This window comes from Homo sapiens, chromosome 16 (genome assembly GCF_000001405.40).
Source record: "Homo sapiens chromosome 16, GRCh38.p14 Primary Assembly".
Taxonomy (NCBI): Eukaryota; Metazoa; Chordata; class Mammalia; order Primates; family Hominidae; genus Homo; species Homo sapiens.
Window position 1 is genome coordinate 3,429,277 of NC_000016.10, and position 19,428 is coordinate 3,448,704.

At 43.6% G+C, this 19,428-nt stretch overlaps 2 protein-coding genes across 3 annotated transcripts in view, besides 4 other annotated features; one reads left to right on the top strand and one right to left on the bottom strand.

The window, feature by feature from the left end:
- Positions 2,175 to 2,676: an enhancer, noted in NCBI's record as "H3K4me1 hESC enhancer chr16:3481451-3481952 (GRCh37/hg19 assembly coordinates)". NCBI's record gives its function as "activates a minimal SCP1, AML or CMV promoter by ChIP-STARR-seq in naive H9 embryonic stem cells {active_cell/tissue: H9 hESC(naive)}" and the evidence as "EXISTENCE:reporter gene assay evidence [ECO:0000049][PMID:30033119]".
- Positions 2,443 to 2,612: an enhancer, noted in NCBI's record as "active region_10321". NCBI's record gives its function as "activates an Ori minimal core promoter by ATAC-STARR-seq in GM12878 lymphoblastoid cells {active_cell/tissue: GM12878}" and the evidence as "EXISTENCE:reporter gene assay evidence [ECO:0000049][PMID:35858748]".
- Positions 2,873 to 2,922: a silencer, noted in NCBI's record as "silent region_7134". NCBI's record gives its function as "represses an Ori minimal core promoter by ATAC-STARR-seq in GM12878 lymphoblastoid cells {active_cell/tissue: GM12878}" and the evidence as "EXISTENCE:reporter gene assay evidence [ECO:0000049][PMID:35858748]".
- On the bottom strand, positions 3,138 to 14,228 carry ZNF597 (zinc finger protein 597). The gene is made up of 4 exons (NM_152457.3): positions 14,084 to 14,228; positions 13,845 to 13,930; positions 11,531 to 11,657; positions 3,138 to 8,262 (listed from the first exon to the last, which is right to left on the bottom strand). Exons 2-4 carry the CDS (start codon positions 13,875 to 13,877, stop codon positions 7,148 to 7,150), a joined length of 1,275 nt encoding a protein of 424 aa, NP_689670.1. The 5' UTR covers positions 13,878 to 13,930; positions 14,084 to 14,228; the 3' UTR covers positions 3,138 to 7,147.
- The window catches only part of NAA60 (N-alpha-acetyltransferase 60, NatF catalytic subunit), a 43,353-nt gene continuing 38,259 nt past the window's right edge, over positions 14,335 to 19,428 (top strand). Inside the window, exons 1-2 of one of the 2 annotated variants that reach the window (NM_001317093.1) lie at positions 14,335 to 14,551; positions 19,195 to 19,264. In NM_001317093.1, the coding sequence (NP_001304022.1) occupies positions 14,491 to 14,551; positions 19,195 to 19,264 (131 nt within the window). In that variant the 5' untranslated portion in view covers positions 14,335 to 14,490. Of the gene's footprint in view, positions 14,562 to 19,194; positions 19,265 to 19,428 lie in introns of both variants that reach the window. The other variant, NM_001083601.3, reaches the window with a different exon arrangement.
- Positions 14,488 to 14,637: an enhancer, noted in NCBI's record as "active region_10322". NCBI's record gives its function as "activates an Ori minimal core promoter by ATAC-STARR-seq in GM12878 lymphoblastoid cells {active_cell/tissue: GM12878}" and the evidence as "EXISTENCE:reporter gene assay evidence [ECO:0000049][PMID:35858748]".

Here is a 19,428-nt window from a genome sequence, read left to right on the forward strand (position 1 = left end):
TTTTAAATTTTTGGTAGAGATGGGTCTTATTATGTTGCCCAGGCTGGTCTGGAACTTCTGGCCTCAAGTAATCCTCCTGCCTTGACCTCCCAAAGTGCTGGGATTACAGGTGTGAGCCACTGCACCGGCCATCTTTGCTAAATTATTACCTTCAAGCCTATAAGGTATCATTATATATTTATCCTGGAAGCTTTCTTAGTTTTTTTCTAAACTCCTTACAGCTTCTTTGGGTACACTGTTACACCTCTTGCCTACTAGTAAGTGACAGCACCAGTATCTATTCTCCTTTCTTTTTTTTTTTTTTTTTGACAAAGTCTCACTCTGTTGCCCAGGCTGGAGTGCAGTGGCACAATCTCGGCTCACTGCAACTTCCGCCTCCTGGGTTCAAGCGATTCTCCTGCCTCAGCCTCCCAACTAGCTGCGACTACAGATGCGCACCACCATGCCCGGCTAATTTTTGTATTTTTTTTAGTAGAGATGGGGTTTCACCATATTGGCCAGGCTGGTCTCGAACTCCTGACCTCGTAATCTGCCCACCTCGGCCTCCCAAAGTGCTGGGATCACAGGCATGAGCCACTGCACCCGGCCCTCTGTCAGTCTTTAAGCTGAAACCAATGGTATAAAAGTGACAGAGCCGTAGTAGTTTCAATCAGTGCATAATTTTAAGCATCTACCATGTTCCTGGTCTCTCCTCCCATGGAGACAATGAAATTTTATTAGTTACATAATTAATATTCAATTACAAGCATATTGCTATAAGGAGGGTAAAACAAAGAATGTAGGAATTGAAAGGGATGTTCCAAGTAAAAGGAAAAGTATGTGCACAATTCTCAAAGAGCTTGGTATGTTTGATGAATTGAGAGAAAGTGTAGCTGGAGAGGGGTAAGAGAAAAAGAACAGCTGGAGTTGACACTGGCAGGGAAGTAATGACTAGGAAGGTCATGTTGAAAATTTAAATGTCCCTAAGGACAATGGGAAGCCAATGGAAGGTGTCAAATTGGATGATGAAATCATCATAATCATCTGGTACCTGGCCCTCTAGTTCTGTGCAGCAAAGACTGGAAAGATGAACATCTAGTGTTGTCTTCCCGCAATAATGCTGGAATTTTCTGCTGAGTTTCAGGGAGCAAACATTTTTTAATACTTCTTTTATTAAATGGCAGTGTGTTAGCTGTGTTGACAGAGAACAAGTGTGATATGAAAGTCATCAGCGGGCTCTTTCAGGTAACCCAGGTGAGTACTGTTGGATAGGATGGGGACAGGGGAGACAGAAACATTCAGGTTTTGGTGATACTTTTGAGGTAGAATCCATGAGACTTGATGATTGAGTGGATGTGATGTCTTAGTCTGTTCTGGCTTCTATAAAAAGTTACCATAAGCCAGGTAGTTTATAAACAACAGAAATTTTTTTCTCATAGTTCTAGAGGCTAGGAAACCCAGATCAAGGTGCTGGCAGATTCATTGTCTGGTGAGGGCCATTTCCACAATGGCACCTTCTTGCTGGGTCCTCACAGGCTCGAGTACAGTGGGCCAATCATAGTTCACTGTAACCTCAACTTCCTGGGCTCAAGCAATCCTCCTGCCTCAGCCTCCCAAGTAGCTAGGACTACAAGCACCAGCCACCACACCGGGCTAAATAAATTTTTTGAAAAGATGGCGTGTCGCTATGTTTCCCAGGCCGGTCTTGAACTCCTGGCTTTAAGCAATTCTCACACCTTGGCCTCCCAAAGCACTGGGATTACAGACGTAAGCCACCACACCCGGCCTGCAGTCTCTTTTATAAGGACACTAATCCCAATCATGAGGGGTCTGCCAAAGTCCCCACCTCCTAATAACATCAGTTTAAGTGTTAGAATTCCAACACATGAATTTTTAGGGTACACAAATATTCAAGCCATAGCAAGAGGAAAGAGGGAGTGTTTGTTGATAGCATGAGCAATTGTATGGATGTGGCCCCACATACTGGAGGCAAACAGATCAGGGGCTAAAAGCATGAGTTAAGGGCATGTGTTTTGATGCCTGAGAGACATCTAAAAGACGACTCCTGTAGGCACCTGAATGTAGGAATCTGGAGTACATAGAAAAGAAATTGGAGCTAGACCTAAAATGAGGTCTTTGTAGCCATGGAAGTGGCTAAGCTCACCTGGGGAGATACCATTTACCAAAGGTAAGCCGAGGGTACATTCCAGCTAAGTAGAAGCATGTTAGAATTTGGCTGCAGAGAATGCCAAAAGCCTAAGAGATTGGTACTGGTTCTAAAGAAAAGACACTCTACCCAGCACAAGTGAGATGTACAAAGTGCCCATTTCAACAAGCCAGAGACACACGTGGTAGTCAGGCCCACAGCTCTGCATTGCCTAAGTGAGATTAGAGCTGGGACGGTGGCCCGGAGCTGCTTCTCCAGTCCTAACGCCTAGAATCATGGGATGGAGATTCGTGTTAGTGCCCGACAGTCACACCCATGATACCCTCCTGCTGATGCGGAGGAAGAGACCTGAGGAGTTCCTCCGCAAACACTCTTACCCGTACTGCTAGATTTACACGGAGATCACCTAGCGATATGCAGTGGATATGGCCAGGCACATGGCCAAACCCCACCACTGGATCTCCACCGTTCACCACAGTCCACTTGCCCCAGGAATGCGCAGGCGCTACCGGAAGCGGGCACCGGAAGTGGCTCGGCTCGTGGCTTCCGGTTCCTCACCAGTGTGCCGCTGTAGCGCAAGTCATCTCGTTGACACTTCCGCTGACCCGTGCAGTTGGTGGCCAAGCTGGAGACCCAGGATCTCCCTGAGGCCGCGCGAGGTCTTCTGGGAGTCCTACTCACCACATCCGCTACTCGGAATCCAAGCTTTAAGTGGCAACCCGTGCCAGGCAGTAGCTGCTCCGTGAAGACAGAGGTCCTTGCCCCTGTACTTCTGTGTACAGCAAAGACGAAAGGAAATTGAGGTCTAGCGCTAGCTTCCCAGAATGACCCAGAATTTTCTGCTGAGTTCCAGGGAGCAAGCGATTTTACTTCCCTTATTAAGTAGCACGAAGTCCTTCACTCTCTGTCTCTAAACCAGAATCCTAACAGTCTTCAAAATTAACCTGATTGCCACCTAAAACCACGTATTTTTTTTAAAAAGTTCACTTCATTGCCATCATCATAAAATAGCATTTAATAGAAGCCAAATTGCACATTAGACGTAATCAATAACTTCAGAGCTTGCAAACTAGAGTGAAGACTGATGAGAATACGTCAAAAAGAGTAAGACCCAAAACATTGAATAAACAGTATAAGTGTATACAATAAATAGAATTCTGAGGTATCCAAAGGAACTGGAGATTACAGCACATTCTTACGTTTACACAGAAGAATATTTATATTGTATTCCCCCCCTACAGACTTAATGCAAAGAGGACTGTCAATTTTAAAAGACAAAACACCTGTACTACTTAGATGGGCCTTGGAAAGATGGGTAATGGTTATCTTTGAATCAGATCAATAGCTCTTCTAAATTACAAAACTAAACCAGATGAATACATACACTTCTAATGTAATGAACATCATTTTGTTAAACAGATGGTCAAAGCAAATACACTTTCCTACTAAAATCCCACAGGGATAACAAGTTTAATGAACATTCAAAATAGACTATTCATATAAACTATAACCTGCTATGTCTCCCTTTGTACACATAGGCAGTAAATTGCAGATTACTTTGATCAAACTCTGCAGTTTCAGATTGTATGACATCTTATGCTGCAGTCACTAGAACATTGCCACTTAATTATATGGAAACTCAGGAGGCAAAGACTCAAAATGGCATTTGCTGTGAAATGTCATTTGAGTTTTAACTCCCTGAATTATTGGGTTAGTCATTTTCTATGTTAAATGAGGAGGTGTCAATAGACTACCACCTGTAGCAACAAAGCTCTAAATAAAACTATTCTGAGTCGACCTCATTCAAAACAACTACATTCCACAATTTCTTAAATTATAAAATGTAAACTGCTGACATCTGAATTCCATTGGAAAAATGCTGTTTTCATCAATGACGACTGTTTAAAAGACTGTTTAACTATTCCAGCAATCATGTTAAGGAACTGTTGGATATACATTTTCATCACTGCATCAACGACAAAAACGGAGAAATTTGTCTGAGTCAATTTATTCAGCACAAAGTTTTCACTCTCATAGTGTGTTGATTTCCATGCTGCAAAATGCAGTTAACCAATCATTCATAGCAATAAACTCTTGCATTTAGTTTTTCATTCCCATATTAACTTTTATCCAGTATTTGTGAATAGCACCTAACATGGAAGGCTAGTATCTGAGTTAATGACAATTTTATGGAATTTATCTCCATCAGTTGACACTGTAAACAGAAGGGTGAAATGCCATCATCATAAAAAGCCTGAAGCTCACCAGCAGATATATCTTTTCCTTCAATTCCCTGGGGGTAAAGCAGCTTGAATTACATCTAGCAAATGTATTTAAGTACAACTGCACAATAAGCACAACTGAAAATATGCCTCTTTCACAGTAACTGACACTTCCGGGGTTTTCATTTTTTTCTGCATACTAATCATTAACAGTATTATACCAAAAAGCCATTTTAGTTCTACCCACACGTATGTTAATGTTTCTGAAAAGGGCTATTTTTTCTAATCTTTTAGGAAGTTTGTCGTAATCTTCCAAAATCTGGAGAAAACTGCAAAAAAAAAAATTAGAGGTTAATTGTGAAGGAAGACTCGTGTGGAAAGGCAAACTTCCATATTAAGGTGCAGAACAGGATGTATGGCACAAATTCTCACTTTCTGCTATATTTTCTAGGAGCCAAAACAAAAATGACAGCATACATCTTTTATATCACCCCCATTCTGTCCAAGTGCCTTCTAAGATATTCCCCTCTACTTCTTTCTGCAGCAACTCTGCTAATCCAGACCTTTCCCAATTTCATCCCCCATCCTGTGACTCATTAGATCTTTGACTGAACTCTTAGGGCCCCTGATATGTGCTGATGAGGCTCCTGCCAGTTTCTCCCACTGAGGGCAGAAGCAGGAGAGCAAGGAGGTGGTGTTCTTGTTATTTAACAAAGGTCATGGTATCTCAGAGTTGCCTAATAAGTAATCTAACTGGAGACTATCTTTCTACACATTTCAAAGCACCTCAGAGAAACCTGGAAGCTGGTGTCCTGTCTCCTAAGAGTGGAGACATCAGAAACAAACAGCCAAAGTCTGACCTTGACATACAGAGCAGCACATTGTCTCAACTGTGGATCTGCAAACAAGAAACAAGACAAGAATGACAAAGAGAGAGAAACTCTCTCTGGGTTAGGGATGTTTTTGTTAGTTTCAGTTTTTCTCTCACCTGAACAGTATCTTCCTGCCTCTACTCAGTAATAAGAGCTTAGCTGAGTAGCCAGCATTTTTTGTATATTTAGTCCTCAATCTGCTGTTCTGTAGGACCACCTTCTGCTACCTTCCATATAATTAGTCCTCAAGAGTCCTTTATCTTTTCTCCCAGCAAAAATTCCCAGCAACAATTCAATTTTAGCAAATATTGTACTTTTATACTGTCTATTTAAATAGAATGAGAGCATTCTTCCATCCTAATCAAAACCCATGTAAATATTGTTTTGCTGATAGGCATACAATCGACTTTAATGAGAAATTGTATATGAATCTATATTTACAACATTCTGTGGTTCTTTAACATTAATAACCATACCATTTAATAATATTTTGCTCCAGTATTTATCTATAATAGCAATATCTAAAGATCTATATATTATCAAGTATTTTGGTTAAAATCTAACAATTTTCTATATGCATTTTCTTTGGAGATGGAGAGGAAATGTTATGGGTGTTTTTTAAAAAACCAAAACCCAGTTAAGACCTTCAGTATTGTACTCTGCCAAGTGTGAAATCTCTCATCTGATTAGAGGGACAAGAATTCAAACCTGAAGTCCTGGAGAGTCTTCTGCTGCTTTGTAACTGTATATGTTAGTCAGGCTTTGGGTACAGCACAAAGGGAATGAAGGGGTTCCAGGATGCAAGCACACAGAATCGCCTCCATGAGGACCACCCTCACCTATCTCAGCTCCCCTTTCCCTGGCTGCCTGCAGTGCTACTACGTGGTGCAAATGCCAACAAATGCCGCAGTCTTGCAGACTGCATGGCCTTTGGAGTCAGAGAAACCCAAGCTTAATGTCAGTTTCACCACAATGTGATTTGTGTGCTGGGCAAAGAACTGACTTTACCCTCTGAGGACTTCAGTTTCCTCGTTTATGAAACAAAGATTTTTTTTCTCTGTCACAGATTCTGAAGATTAAATTACATAATATATCTAAAGTAGCTAGCATGCTCACTGAGAAACAATTACAATTATTCATAGTAAGACAGGTAATGTGCTTCAGTAGCAATTTGGAGGCAAATCTTAGAAAAGAGCAAGTACTTCTCCCCCTCCCCAAGTCAAGTCCAGCCTCCAGAAAAGGGCTGCAGTTAGACTTCCAAAACTCCTTGCAAACAATTGGGTCCTAAATGCCAGTATGTGCCCCTGGCATCAGAACCATGACAGAGAACTCCGGATACTAATGGCCATCAAAATATAAACTAGTCTACCCATTTGGGAACTTTTACAGGGCAGAAAAAAACTTCTGAACGCCTGTGGGAATTCACATGTAGAACAGCAATCTTATACAAGTATTACATTCAAATAGTTATAGCAAAAAAAAGTATAAAACATATAAAAGCATTTACTTTCCTAGATATGTCTGCAGAACTGGCAAAATATAAATAAATTCTCCTCCTTCTAAAAGTCAGAAACTACGTAAACAAAATTAAAATAACTTTAGCAAGAGCCTTCATTTTAATGAAAATTGAATTTAAACAAAAGTTGTGTATCTTCTTCTGGCTCACAGTTGTACAGTAACTGAGTTCAAATCCTGGGTTCATTCACTAGTTTAGTGACACGGATTTTGCATCCCTACTTATAAAATGGAAATGATACTGCCTAAATCACGGTTGTGCTGAGAATTAAGTATTACATGGGAATGTGTGTAAAGTGCTTAGCACATTGCCTGGGACATATACAGTAACTGCTTCCCACCATACAGATACTGAAAAGCCCAATCACTAATAACAATTTGTTATATTTACTTTACGTGGTGTTTTTTATGTGAGTTCGCTTATGAGTAATGAGATGCAAATTCGACTTGAAAGTTTTCCCACACACGGTACATTTAAAAGGTTCCGCTAGCATGTGGCTCTTCTGGTGGCATGCAAGTTCTGAGTCCAAAGCAAAACTTTCCTCGCATGTTTTGCACTTATGGGGCCTTTCCTCTGTATGAATGTTCTGATGGGAAATAAGCTCAGAGAAACAAGGAAAGGTCATGTCACAGTCAGGACACTGTAAGGGCTTGAATTTTGAGAATGAGAAGAAATTGTCCCCATCATCGCTGCAGCGTTCAGAGTCCTCGTCGTGGCTCTTCTCGGAAAGGGCAGGATATAAGGACTGCCTGAAGCTCTTCATGCACTTAGTGTGCTGGTACTGGGGGCCTGATACGAATGTTTCCTCAGGCAAAGCAAGATTTGGTTTCTCATTAAAATGTTTATCACAGTTAGTAGATTCGTAGGTGTTTTCAGCACTGTGGCTTTTCTGATGCTGTGCCAATCCTGGGAGCCACATAAAACCTCTACCACATATGCTACATGTATAGGGCTTCTCCTTTACGTGGCTATTCATGTGTCGGGATAGATGAGAGTGCTGGCGAAAGCTGGCACTGCACTTGGCACACTTATAAGGTTTCTCACCAGTATGGATTCTCCTGTGTGTCCTCAGGTTGGCTCTATGATTGAAGATCTTTCCACAGTCACCACATTTATGTTTTTTCTCTCCTGAATGAATTTTCTGATGCAAAACTAGGTATGAATGATCGCTGAAGTTTTGGTCACACTCAGGACATTTGTACACATTTTTGGCTCCTTCCCAGGGAGAATCAAGAATTTCAGAAAGTGTGTTGGTTCCTAAATATTCAGAGAGTTCTACTAATGGGGTGTGGTTTTCAATGGTAACTAAAAGGCTGATGACCCTTCTCTTGTAAGTGGGAGTTCCACTTAATATTTTCGCTTCAGGGTTTCCAACTCCATCCTCAGAGGATTTTTCTGGGTAAGGGACAAGGGGTGCAGCAATGGGGTACTTTTCTAAGGCAAGCTCGTCAAGTTCCATAGACTCTAGGCTTAACTGCTGATTAATCTCAGGCTTGCCTTCCTCTCCTGTTGATAAAAACAAAAGAAAGCAAAACATAGACAATATCTTCAAGGGATACTGGGGAAAAAGTAAGCTAAGGTAGTTACAAACAGGACCAGGAAACCTTAGAAGGGTTATTCTATAACCCAGACACTAACCACACAAAATCAGGACCAAGCAGACTCTCCTGGCCTCCCAGAAGATCCAGTTTTGGGTGAATATCCAAAGGTAAGGAGAGAATAGCTATAACTAAGTCAGAGTCCAGTGGGATAGGTACTAAGGACAATCTCAGTAGCAGCTATCTAGAGGTGAACTTTTCCATCTAATCTATTTAGGCCTCAAGAGCCTTTCATTTTTGAAGCTATCTCAAGTGACAGCAGAACAATTAACAATTGGAAAAAAGATTAGGATTCATATTTATCAACAAAGAGAGGGGTTGGGCAGTGTCTCACGTCTGTAATCTCAGCACTTTGGGAAGCTGAGGTGGGAGCATCACTTGAGGCTAGGAGTTTGAGACCAGTCTGGGCAACACAGTGAGACCCCATCTGTACAAAAAATAATTTTTAAAAATTAGCCAGGCATGGTGGCACATGCCTATAGTCCTAGATACTCAGGAGGCTGAGACAGGAGGATCACTTGAGCTCAGGAGTTTGAGATGTGCCATTGCACTCCAGCCTAGGTGACAGAGCCAGAACTTGTTTCTTAAAAAAAAAAAAAAAAGATGACAGCAAGAATGAGTGGGAAAGAAAATAATTTTTAAAAAGAGGCTGGGCACGGTGGCTCACACCTGTGATCCCAGCACTTTGGGAGGCCGAGGCGGGTGGATCACGAGATCAGGAGATCAAGACCATCCTGGCTAACACGGTGAAACCCCATCTCTACTAAAAAAAAATACAGAAAATTAGCTGGGCGTGGTGGCCTGCGCCTGTCGTCCCAGCTACTCGGGAGGCTGAGGCAGGAGAATGGCGTGAACCCAGGAGGCGGAGCTTGCAGTGAGCCGAGATCGCGCCACTGCACTCCAGCCTGGGCGACAGAGCAAGACTCTGTCTCAAAAAAAAATAATAATAATAATTAAAAAAGAAAAAAGAAAAAAAAGCAATCAAGTGAGCATTTTTCTTCCATAACAAAGAAACACACGGGTTATCAGAAATAGTTTTATTATCACCAGGAGAACTCTCCAAAATCTCTTTACTCCTCACTGAGGAAAGATCAAGGTAGAAGGCTGTGTGTACTGCATGAAAATAACAGCCAATCTACTTACAAGAATGGCTGACAAAACTAACATTCCTGTGTAATATTTTCCAAGTATTCTTCAGTTATAAAGCAAATATATCAATACAAAAGGAACTTTTCTTTCCAGAGAAACAAAGTTCTACAGTTTTCCCAACTCACTGACTAGAAAGGGCTGCAGTATAGTTCATGGGAATCCAAACAGTACCAAGTGGTTTTGCTGATTTGAGGGGACTGAGTTCAGAGATCAGGGATGCCAAGGCAGCTAGAATTTGAAAGCAAAACAGCAAAGAGGCAGCTGTTCAGAAAGAGAGCTCAGGTCATCTACATGGGGTCCCCTTAAGACTTTCCTGAGGCTAGGTACAGTGGCTCAAACCTGTAATCCCAGCACATTGGGAGGCTGAGGTGGGAGAATTGCTTGAGCCACGGAGCTCGAGACCAGCCTGGGCAACATGGCAAAGCCCCATCCCTACAAAAAAAAAACAACAAAAAAAGACAAGCATGGTAGTGCATGCCTGTAGTCCCAGCTACTTGGGAGGCTGAGGTGGGAGGACTGCTTGAGCCTGGGAGGTCAGGGCTGCAGTGAGCCGTGATTGTGCCACTGCACTCCAGCCTGGGTGACAGATCAAGATACTGTATCAAAAAAAAAATAACCCCACAACTTTGGCTGAGTAGTAATCTACAAGTGCATGAAGAAACTACCCAATGCCGTGGAAAGAACCACCTAAAAGGAATAACAGAGCAATAACCAGTTCATGTTGCCTCCAGCCAAAGTGGAAAGACATAAGACATTGAGCAGCAACGTCCACAGAAAAAAACTGCCTTAGCAGTAACTCAAATAAGTCCTAGCAGAAAGGTTGATCTGAACCTATCCTAACAAAGCAAAAAAAAAAAGCACACCTTGAAACAGTCAAACTGACTCCAAGTAACTTAACTGCCTCCCACAACAAAGTCCAAAATATTTTTAAAAATACAACGAAATCCCGGGTCCAACAACATAAAATTCTTAATCTAACATCCGACCAAAATTTACCCAGGAAGTAAAGAAAATATAGAAAATATAACCCATAACTAGAAGACAAATCAATCAATAGAAACAGACCCAGAAATGACATCAATGTTAAAACTAGCAAGAAAAAAAAGTTTAAATAACCATTATAAATATACTCCATACATTTACGCAGACAGAAGACAACATGAACATGATGAAGAGAGAAGTGGAAGAAACAAAATATGAGTTATTCAGAATAACTAGTTACTCTAGTTATTTTTTTCTGACTAGGATTGAGTATCTCAACTATTCCAAACTATTTAGAATAACTACTTAGAATAGATAGTTTAGATACTCAATCCTAGTCAGAAATAAAATCTAGTCAGGCACAGGAGTCCATCTGTGTATGGTTCCCCTTAGGTGAGTAAGGCATAGCACCCCTTAAGAGTAAATCAATCTCCAGTCTTTAGCAAATGATAGTGATCGATACTAATGGGATTTCCCAAGTAAAATTGTAAACTGCAACAAATGTTTGTGAAAGATTACCAAATACTGCCATCTCTTGTACTAAACCACAGGCACTGTACTAGACTGAATTTTTGTCTTTAAGAGATCATCTCGGCCGGGCTCAGTGGCTCATGCCTGTAATCCCAGCACTTTGGGAGGCCGAGGCGGGTGATCACAAGGTCAGGAGATTGAGACCATCCTGGCTAACACGGTGAAACCCTGTCTCTACTAAAAATACAAAAAATTAGCTGGGCATGGTGGCAGGCGGCTGTAGTCCCAGCTACTCGGGAGGCTGAGGCAGGAGAATGGCGTGAACCTGGGAGGCGCGGTTTGCAGTGAGCAGAGATCGTGCCACTGCACTCCAGCCTGGGCAACAGAGCGAGAGTCTGTCTCAAAAAAAAAAAATCATCTCATATTTTAAAACTTTTTCTCTCACACAATTATCACCTCCACATAAATTACTGAGGGACAGGTCCCACTCCACCATACCAACATCTGGATAAAGCATGAAGTTCTCCTCCTAGAATTGACAAAAGTTCCAGATGCAGGAAAAACAATTGCCTTACCCATCAAAGCCGCATCCTCCAAAGACTCTTTTGTACCATCTTTGCTGAGGGACCTCTGGGCAGGGTGCAGAGTCACGCACTCCTCTTGAGAAAAATACACAGCCAGATCCTCAAAGAGTATTGGTCCCTGAAACACAAGAGCCTGTGTCAGCACAAGAGGGTGGAGGGTCAGCCCCTCACTTAACCTAGGAAGGATGAAAAGAGCTAGAAACATCAGATGCACGGGATAAAAGGCTCGGTGTAAAAGGTTCTTGAGCGCAGAAGTAGGGCAAATGGGTTCTAAGGGGTGGGGTGAGGGTTGGGAAGAAGAGAGTAAACATGGACATACATTTTTAGGCAGTGGTACAAGGACGGTGGACTGTGAGAATTATTGTCTATCTTGAAAGAGAAAAGATGAGGGAATGGCTCTTAGGGAGGCAACCATTAAGTGAGGATGCTCTAAGAAAAGGAGAGGTTTGGGGCCGGGTGTGGTGGCTCATGCCTGTAATCCCAACACTTTGGGAGTCTGAGGGGGATGCAGATGACTTGAGGTCAGGTGTTCGAGACCAGCCTGGCCAATATGGTGAAACCCTGTCTCTACTAAAATTACAAAAATTAAGGCTGGGCACAGTGGCTCACGCCTGTAACCCCAGCACTTTGGAAGGTGGAGGCGAGTGGATCACCTGAGGTCAGGAGTTCAAGACCAGCCTGACCAACATGGTGAAATTCTGTCTGCACTAAATACAAAAAATTAGCCAGGTGTGGTGGCGCATGCCTATAATCCCAGCTACTTGGGAGGCTGAGGCAGGAGAATCATTTGAACCTAGGAGAAAGAGGTTGCAGTAAGCCGAGATTGCACCATTGCACTCCAGCCTGGGCAACAAGAGTAAAACTCCGTCTCAAGCAGAGCTTGCAGTGAGCTGAGATCGTGCCACTGCACTCCAGCCTGGGCAACAGAGCGACACTCCATCTCAAAAACAAAAACAAAAACAAAACAACAACAAAAAAAACTCTGTCTCAAAAAATAAATTAAAATAAAATGAAATTAGCCAGATGTGGTGGCATGCGCCTGTAGTCCCAGCTACTTGGGAGGCTGGGCCAGGAGAATCGTTTGAATCCAGGAGGCAGAGATTGCAGTGAGCCGAGATCGCGCCATTGCACTCCAGCCTAGGCGTCGCAGCGAGACTGTCTCAAAAAAAAAAAAAAAAAGAAAAGAAAAGGAGAAAGTTGGGCAGCCCAGGAAGAATCATAAAGAGATAAAGGTTACAGGATTCTCCCAACATCCTTCCCTTTGCTATTTCCTCTCGTCCCCATGACACTCATTGCTAAGCTCACTCCAGCACTTCATCCAGGCCTACCCCACCTTCTCTAACGGTGTGATAAATTAATCACTTGGGATTTATTATTACTCAACGAGTGTGGAGTCTAGAAATGTGCTTAATTTAAAAATTCATTCAAATTGGAGAAGTACCAAATCTGTAATTTTGGGAACCATTCCAGAAAGTCACTTTTAATCCTAGCACTTTGGGGAGCCGAGGTGGGAGGATAGCTGAAGGCCAGGAGTTCCTTGGCAAAGCAGCAAGACTCCATCTCCATAAAGAAGTTTTAGGCCGGGCGCAGTGGCTCACACCTGTAATTCCAGCACTTTGGGAGACCGAGGCGGGCGGATCACAAGGTCAGGAGATTGAGACCATCCTGGCTAACACGGTGAAACCCCGTCTCTACTAAAAATACAAAAAATTAGCAGGGCGTGGCGGCAGGCGCCTGTAGTCCCATCTACTCGGGAGGCTGAGGCAGGAGAATGGCATGAACCCGGGAGGCGGAGCTTGCAGTGAGCCGAGATCGCGCCACTGCACTCCAGCCTGGGCGACAGAGCGAGACTCTGTATCAAAAAAAAAAAAAAAAGAACTTTTAAAAGTAGCCAGACACTGTGGTATGCGCGCCTCTCAGATACTCGAGAGGCTGAGGCGTAAGGATTCCCTGAGTTCCAGACGGAGCTATGATATCAGCACTGCACTCCAGCCAGACAAGCAACACTCCAGCGACAAGGCCAGACCCTATCTCCAAACAAAACAAAACAAACAGATAAGACATTGAGAAACTCTCTCAGAGATTCCTCCACAGGTCCCTGCTCCCAGTTGGTAGTTCTGAAAGAAGGAAGTTGGTAAACCATTATGTGTGTGGTCTTGGAACGAAGAACACTTGGTCAAAGGGCTATTTGGGGCTCAGGAGCACTCCTACCACAACAGGCATGCCCAACTCTCCTCCAAAGGAGGGGGTCAGGCAGAGACCGAAAGCAGCAATAAACTTGGACGAAAAAGGTACCTCGACTCACCTGGGCCTCGGGCGTCGGGGGCATGGACGCCATTTGGCGGGTGGGGAATGCCTTCTTCAAGACGCCACAGGGACTTCGTGACAAAGCTGCGGGGGGAGAGAACAGTTCTTAAAGGGACCAATTCCGCTGCCAAGTTCCTCCACTACCCCTAGCCTCCCTCGATTCCCTCCGAACCCCCCCTTAAAAACCTACGCCGACTGCTCCTCCTCTTGGCCCGGCCTCGAAAGGGGCCCACTTACCGCTCCGCGGTTAATAACAGGCCTCGCGCTCCCTGACAGGAGCTGCAGAAAGCGACGCCCGACCGAGACGCGACGAAGAACGCCACGGCCACTGCAAAACTCCCACGCTCTCATGCTCCTTTACGCAGGAGCTGCGGGAAAAGCCGCCGGAAGCGACCCGCCCTCAGCCCTCTCCGCCATCCTGCCCTTTGATTGGTCGAAGTTCTCCCGAAGGGGAAGTCCTTCTTTTGTGTTGACCAATTGAACACCTTAACCGAGGACCTGTAGCCACTGGGCAGCTGCGAGAGGTAGTTTTCCTCCTTTTCTCTAAGCAACCATTTCCGCTTCCGCTGGCGGGGTCTCCTCCGTGAGCTCCGGGCCTGTTTGCCTGCTGAAGTAGAGTCTTAGGGTGACCCCAGGGGGACGTAATGTTTCCGAGAAGAAGGACAGAAAGAAGACTGGGAGACACCGGAACTCGAAAGAAAATCGGTAACAAAATGTGGGTTCGGCCAACAGTGCCCTGTAGGCCTGAAATTTCGGTCTGGCCAGAGCAAGGTGATTGAGAGGGCGGGGGTTCGGGCCTAGCCTGGGCTTGAGCTGTCCTTTGTGTCTTGAGCGGATGGTGGGGCCGTGGAACATGAAGGAGTATCTTTGTGTACGTTCACAACGTTCACATCGGTGTAGGCCAGGTTGCTGGACTCTGACTCAAAGTGTTATAGAGGCATTACGTATTGTACCCGCAGCTGCAGCCTAAGCGAGCTGCTTCAGCTTCCTAGTCACAGGATCCCACGCGAGAATAGAGCCATAGGTTAGCGTCGCAGGACGTTGTTCGCCCCCGGATACCTCACATGCAGCCTACCCTAGAGCCAGTCATTTCCTATTGTGTGCTGGGGGAGGAGGGAGTGCCCTGGTGTAGGCATTTGGAATTGGAAAATTGAGCTCCTCCCCAAGCTCTGCCACTGATTGGTTGGTAATCTTGGCCAGTTTACAACTTTGCTTTCCTCAGCTGCAAACAGCTCAGAGTGCCTCTCTGGGCTAACTCAGAGGGTAATTTCAAAGATTATAAGATAATGTAAGTGAAAGAAATTGCCAGTTTATAAAGGTGTTTGGGGAAAAAAAAAGACGAAAATGATAGGTACCTTGATAGAAAAGCCTGAAAAGTCTCAACATATTTCCTTATTCCAGTGCCAGGCACATTCCTGTATCTAAAAGCTTAATGAATGGCTGCATGGTTATTAAAACAATATTAGGAGATTTGACAACTTAGGTAATGTGATTTTGTGGAATATCTGATAGGATAGTTTCAGCTACAAGTAACAGAAAACCCACCGAAAGGATGTTCAAAGAGCAGTTACAGGTTGGTTAATTCGGTGGCCCAGTGACAACATCAAGGTCCCAGTGCTTCTCTGCCACCCTAAGCATGTTGGTAACGTTGACAATAGAATCCAGGTAAAATATACAGACATGTATTGTGTCATGTACCCATCCTAAACTAGTTATTACCAAGAATAAATAATTGTTTGGGGCCCATCATGCTTCAGCCCCTGTCACTAGGGGAAGGACCTAGCCTCCCTTGATAATCTACCTGCACAAAATTAGGGCTTTGTTACAAATGAAAAAAAGAGATGTGGAAAATAAGTTAGATAAGAAACTAGCAGTATCTGCCACAAATGATATCTCTTGACAGCTAACTAAGAGCTAGACCTTGTGGGGATGGATCACAAAAGAGGTAGCTGTGAAGTCCCAGTAAAGGTGCTTCCAGGACAGGTGGAAGAATGGTAAGAACAAACTTGCCTACAGGCTAGACCAGTCCAAAGCATATATGTTGAAGAAGAGCTAATAGCCTGTATATGAAGGTGTAAGTAAAGGAGATGTTCATGGTTGAGTCACTGTGGTGTTCACGTAGTCATCTTTCCCTTCTTGGTTTGTGCTTATCTCTTTTTTTTTTTTTTTTTTGAGACAGTCTCACTCTGTAGCCAGACTGGGGTGCAGTGGCACAATCCTGACTCACTGCAACCTCTGCCTCCGGGGTTCAAATGATTCTCCTGCCTAAGCCTCCTGAGTAGCTGGGACTACAGGTGCCCGCCACCACGTCCGGCTAATTTTTTTTTTTTGTATTTTTAGTAGAGATGGGGTTTCATCATGTTGGCCAGGATGGTCTCGATCTCGTGACCTCATGATCCACCTCGGCTTCCCAAAGTGCTGGGATTACAAGCGTGAGCCACCGCGCCCCGCCTATTTAATGCTATTCTTACATCAGCACTGTCTCATTGTGGTCTGAGATTCTCCTTATCTGGATTTGTGGCTCTTTCACCAAGAACAAGAGACTCCCGTGGCTCTCTTCTTTAAATCCTGTTGCCATAATTACAAAGAAATAAACACAGTTTCCAATGCTTTGAAATGAAGCATGTGGTATTAACTCAGTGGATTACCAGAGAGAGAGGGATATACCTGAAATGGGAGAGGAAAAAATCTTCCCTAGACTATCTTTCCTAAGAGCCATCAAAACTATAAACAAGTGGACAAAGAAGGAGGAAGCTTGAAAGCTTTATCTTCCTGAAAATAAAGAGATGACATACAAAGTCCAAGATAGACCAAGATTGAAAAATTAGACCACATTATATCCCTAACTCAATTTTGTAAAAAATCACAAATGCTTGACTGTATACCCACTATATGTTCAAGTAACATGTTTTAATCATCAAAATTTAAAAATCCTTCCACGACAATCTTTTGCAAGTTTTTCCATTTCTGTCTTTAACATGGTACCAGTAATAACAACTACAACCTGTTTGTATTGAAATTATTTCTATAGCCCAGCATCTGCTTTCTCTGAAAATTATCTTTTTAAAAATAGTAAAACTAACATCATTACAAAAGTAGTATATGTGCATTTCAGAAAGTTAGGAAAGGCTGGGTGCGGTGGCTCACGCCTGTAATCCCAGCATTTTGTGAGGCTGAGGTGGGCAGATCACAAGGTCAGGAGATCGAGACCATCCTGGCTAACACGATGAAACCCCATCTATACTAAAAATACAAAAAATTAGCCAGGCGTGGTAGCGGGCACCTGTAGTCCCAGCTACTCGGGAGGCTGAGGCAGGAGAATGGCGTGAACCTGGGAGGCGGAGCTTGCAGTGAGCCGAGATCACACCACTGCACTCCAGCCTGGGTGACAGAGTGAGACTCTGTCTGAAAAAAAAAAAAAAAAGAAAATACAGGGGAAAAAATGGCAACACATTCCTGTCACCCAGAGATCACCACTATTTACTCTTTATTATTTGTTTTTTTTTTTTTGAGACAGTCTCACTGTTGCCCAGGCTGGAGAGCAGTGGTGCGATCTCTGCTCACTGCAACTTCCGCCTCCTGGGTTCAAGTGATTCTTGTGCCTCAGCTACCAGAGTAGATGAGATGATGGGCAGATGCCACCACAACCATTTAATTTTTGTATTTTTAGTAGAGATGCAGTTTTGCCATGTTGGCCAGGCTGGTCTCAAACTCCTGGCCTCAAGTGATCCGCCCATGTCAGCCTCCCAAAGTGCTGGGATTACAGGTATGAGCCACCGCACCTGGCCTGCTCACTGCAACCTCCATCTCCCAGGTTCAAGCAATTCTTCTGGCTCAGCCTCCCGAGTAGCTGGGACTATAGGTGCGTACCACCACACCTGGCGAATTTTTGTATTTTTAGTAGAGGACGGGTTTTCCCCATATTGGCCAGGCTGGTCTCGAACTCCTGACCTTGTGATCTGCCCGCCTTGGCCTCCCAAAGTGCTGGGATTACAGGCGTGAGCCCCTGCCCCCGGCCCCTATTCTTAAGTATATATCTTTTCCCTAGTGATTTTTATGATGATGCAGCTGTATATTGAAACGGAAAGATACTCATTTTTGGGAGTAAAATTGGTTATGAAACAAAAACAATAACAAAGTTGCTTTTGAAGACTATGCGTTAAAATGGTAGTGGTAGTTATATTTTTAATTTTTATGGGTACATAGTAGGTGTATATATTTATGTGGTACATGAAATATTTTGATGCAGGCATGCAATGTGTAATCACTTCAAGGTAAATGGGGTATCTTCCCTGGCGATGTTTAACATGATTTCCAGAATGAATTGCTCACTACGTTTGGTGTGTTTTCCATTCCCAGATGGTACTGCCTTTTAAGGTCTATTACTTAAACATAAGTATGGCTCTGGTTCTTACCGCCTTTACCGTATCCTTCATGGGAAGTTGATACTGATCGGAAACTGACACAGAGCCTTCTCACCTACACTAAGGGGGCCTAGGTAAGCAAGATTATCTTTCTCCCAACTTCAGCAAGAGGTTTTCTTACTGGTGTTCAGAATGCTTGATTGAGCAGTTAGAAAACTGTTGCTACCTAGTCTCCAGTCTTATAAGGGGACAATGGCTGCAAGTCATGCCTGCAAGAACAAGAGGCTCACACAGTTTTGAAATTAGCACAACTTCTAGCTGGATAGGAGTCTTTTTAGTTTCATTTAGCCTTGAGTTGAAACTAATAGGAGTCTTTTAATTAGAAAAAAGCTCAGGGCTCTAAACGTACCTTCAACATGTTAATTCTGTTACCAAAAACTGGCTTGGTCTGTGTTAACTCCCAACAGAATTCTTTTTCAGTCACTGAGGCAGAGGTGCTTCCAGAGAAAGATTCTTGACCTACTCATACTGAATAATTATCGTTACTAGAAGCTGCAACCAAAGACTCCTGGAGGGTAGTAAGAGGTACAGAGAATGCAGGTTAGATACAGTGAGGACAGAGAAGAAAGGATGGGTTGGAGGCTGGGCGTGGTCACTCACACCTATAATTCCAGCTACTTTAGAGGCTGAAGCAAGAGAATCACTTGAGTCCAGGAGTTCGAGGCTGCAGTGAGCTAGCATTGTGCCACTGCACTCCAGCTTGGATGACAGAGCAAGACCTTGTCTCAAAAAAAAAAAAAAAAAAAACATGGGTTGCTTTGTAGTTTAGAGAACTACATGTTTAGATAGTTAATTTTTCCCCAAAAGGGCCCATCAGATTGATACTCTGAGATCCAGGGTTTGTCTGACACTCATTAGCCTATGAGTTGTAGAGATGGGATGGCCAGGAGTGAAGTGATGGCCTTGTGTCTTTCTCCCCTGCAGCATACAGAAAGGCTGTACCTGGAGGAAGGAAGTGCGGAGCCAGCCTGAGTTGGGAGAAGAGCTCCAGAGAGTGAGTCAAAGCGCTCTGTGTCCTGCTATTAATGATGCCCTCATAGTCAGAGGAAGCCTACTTAAGTGAAATCCATTTTTGACCTGTCAAGTATTAAATATTCTCTTAATTTTTAGTACTGAATGATAGAAGGCGCCTAGTGAAACAAATGCTTTCACTTTTTT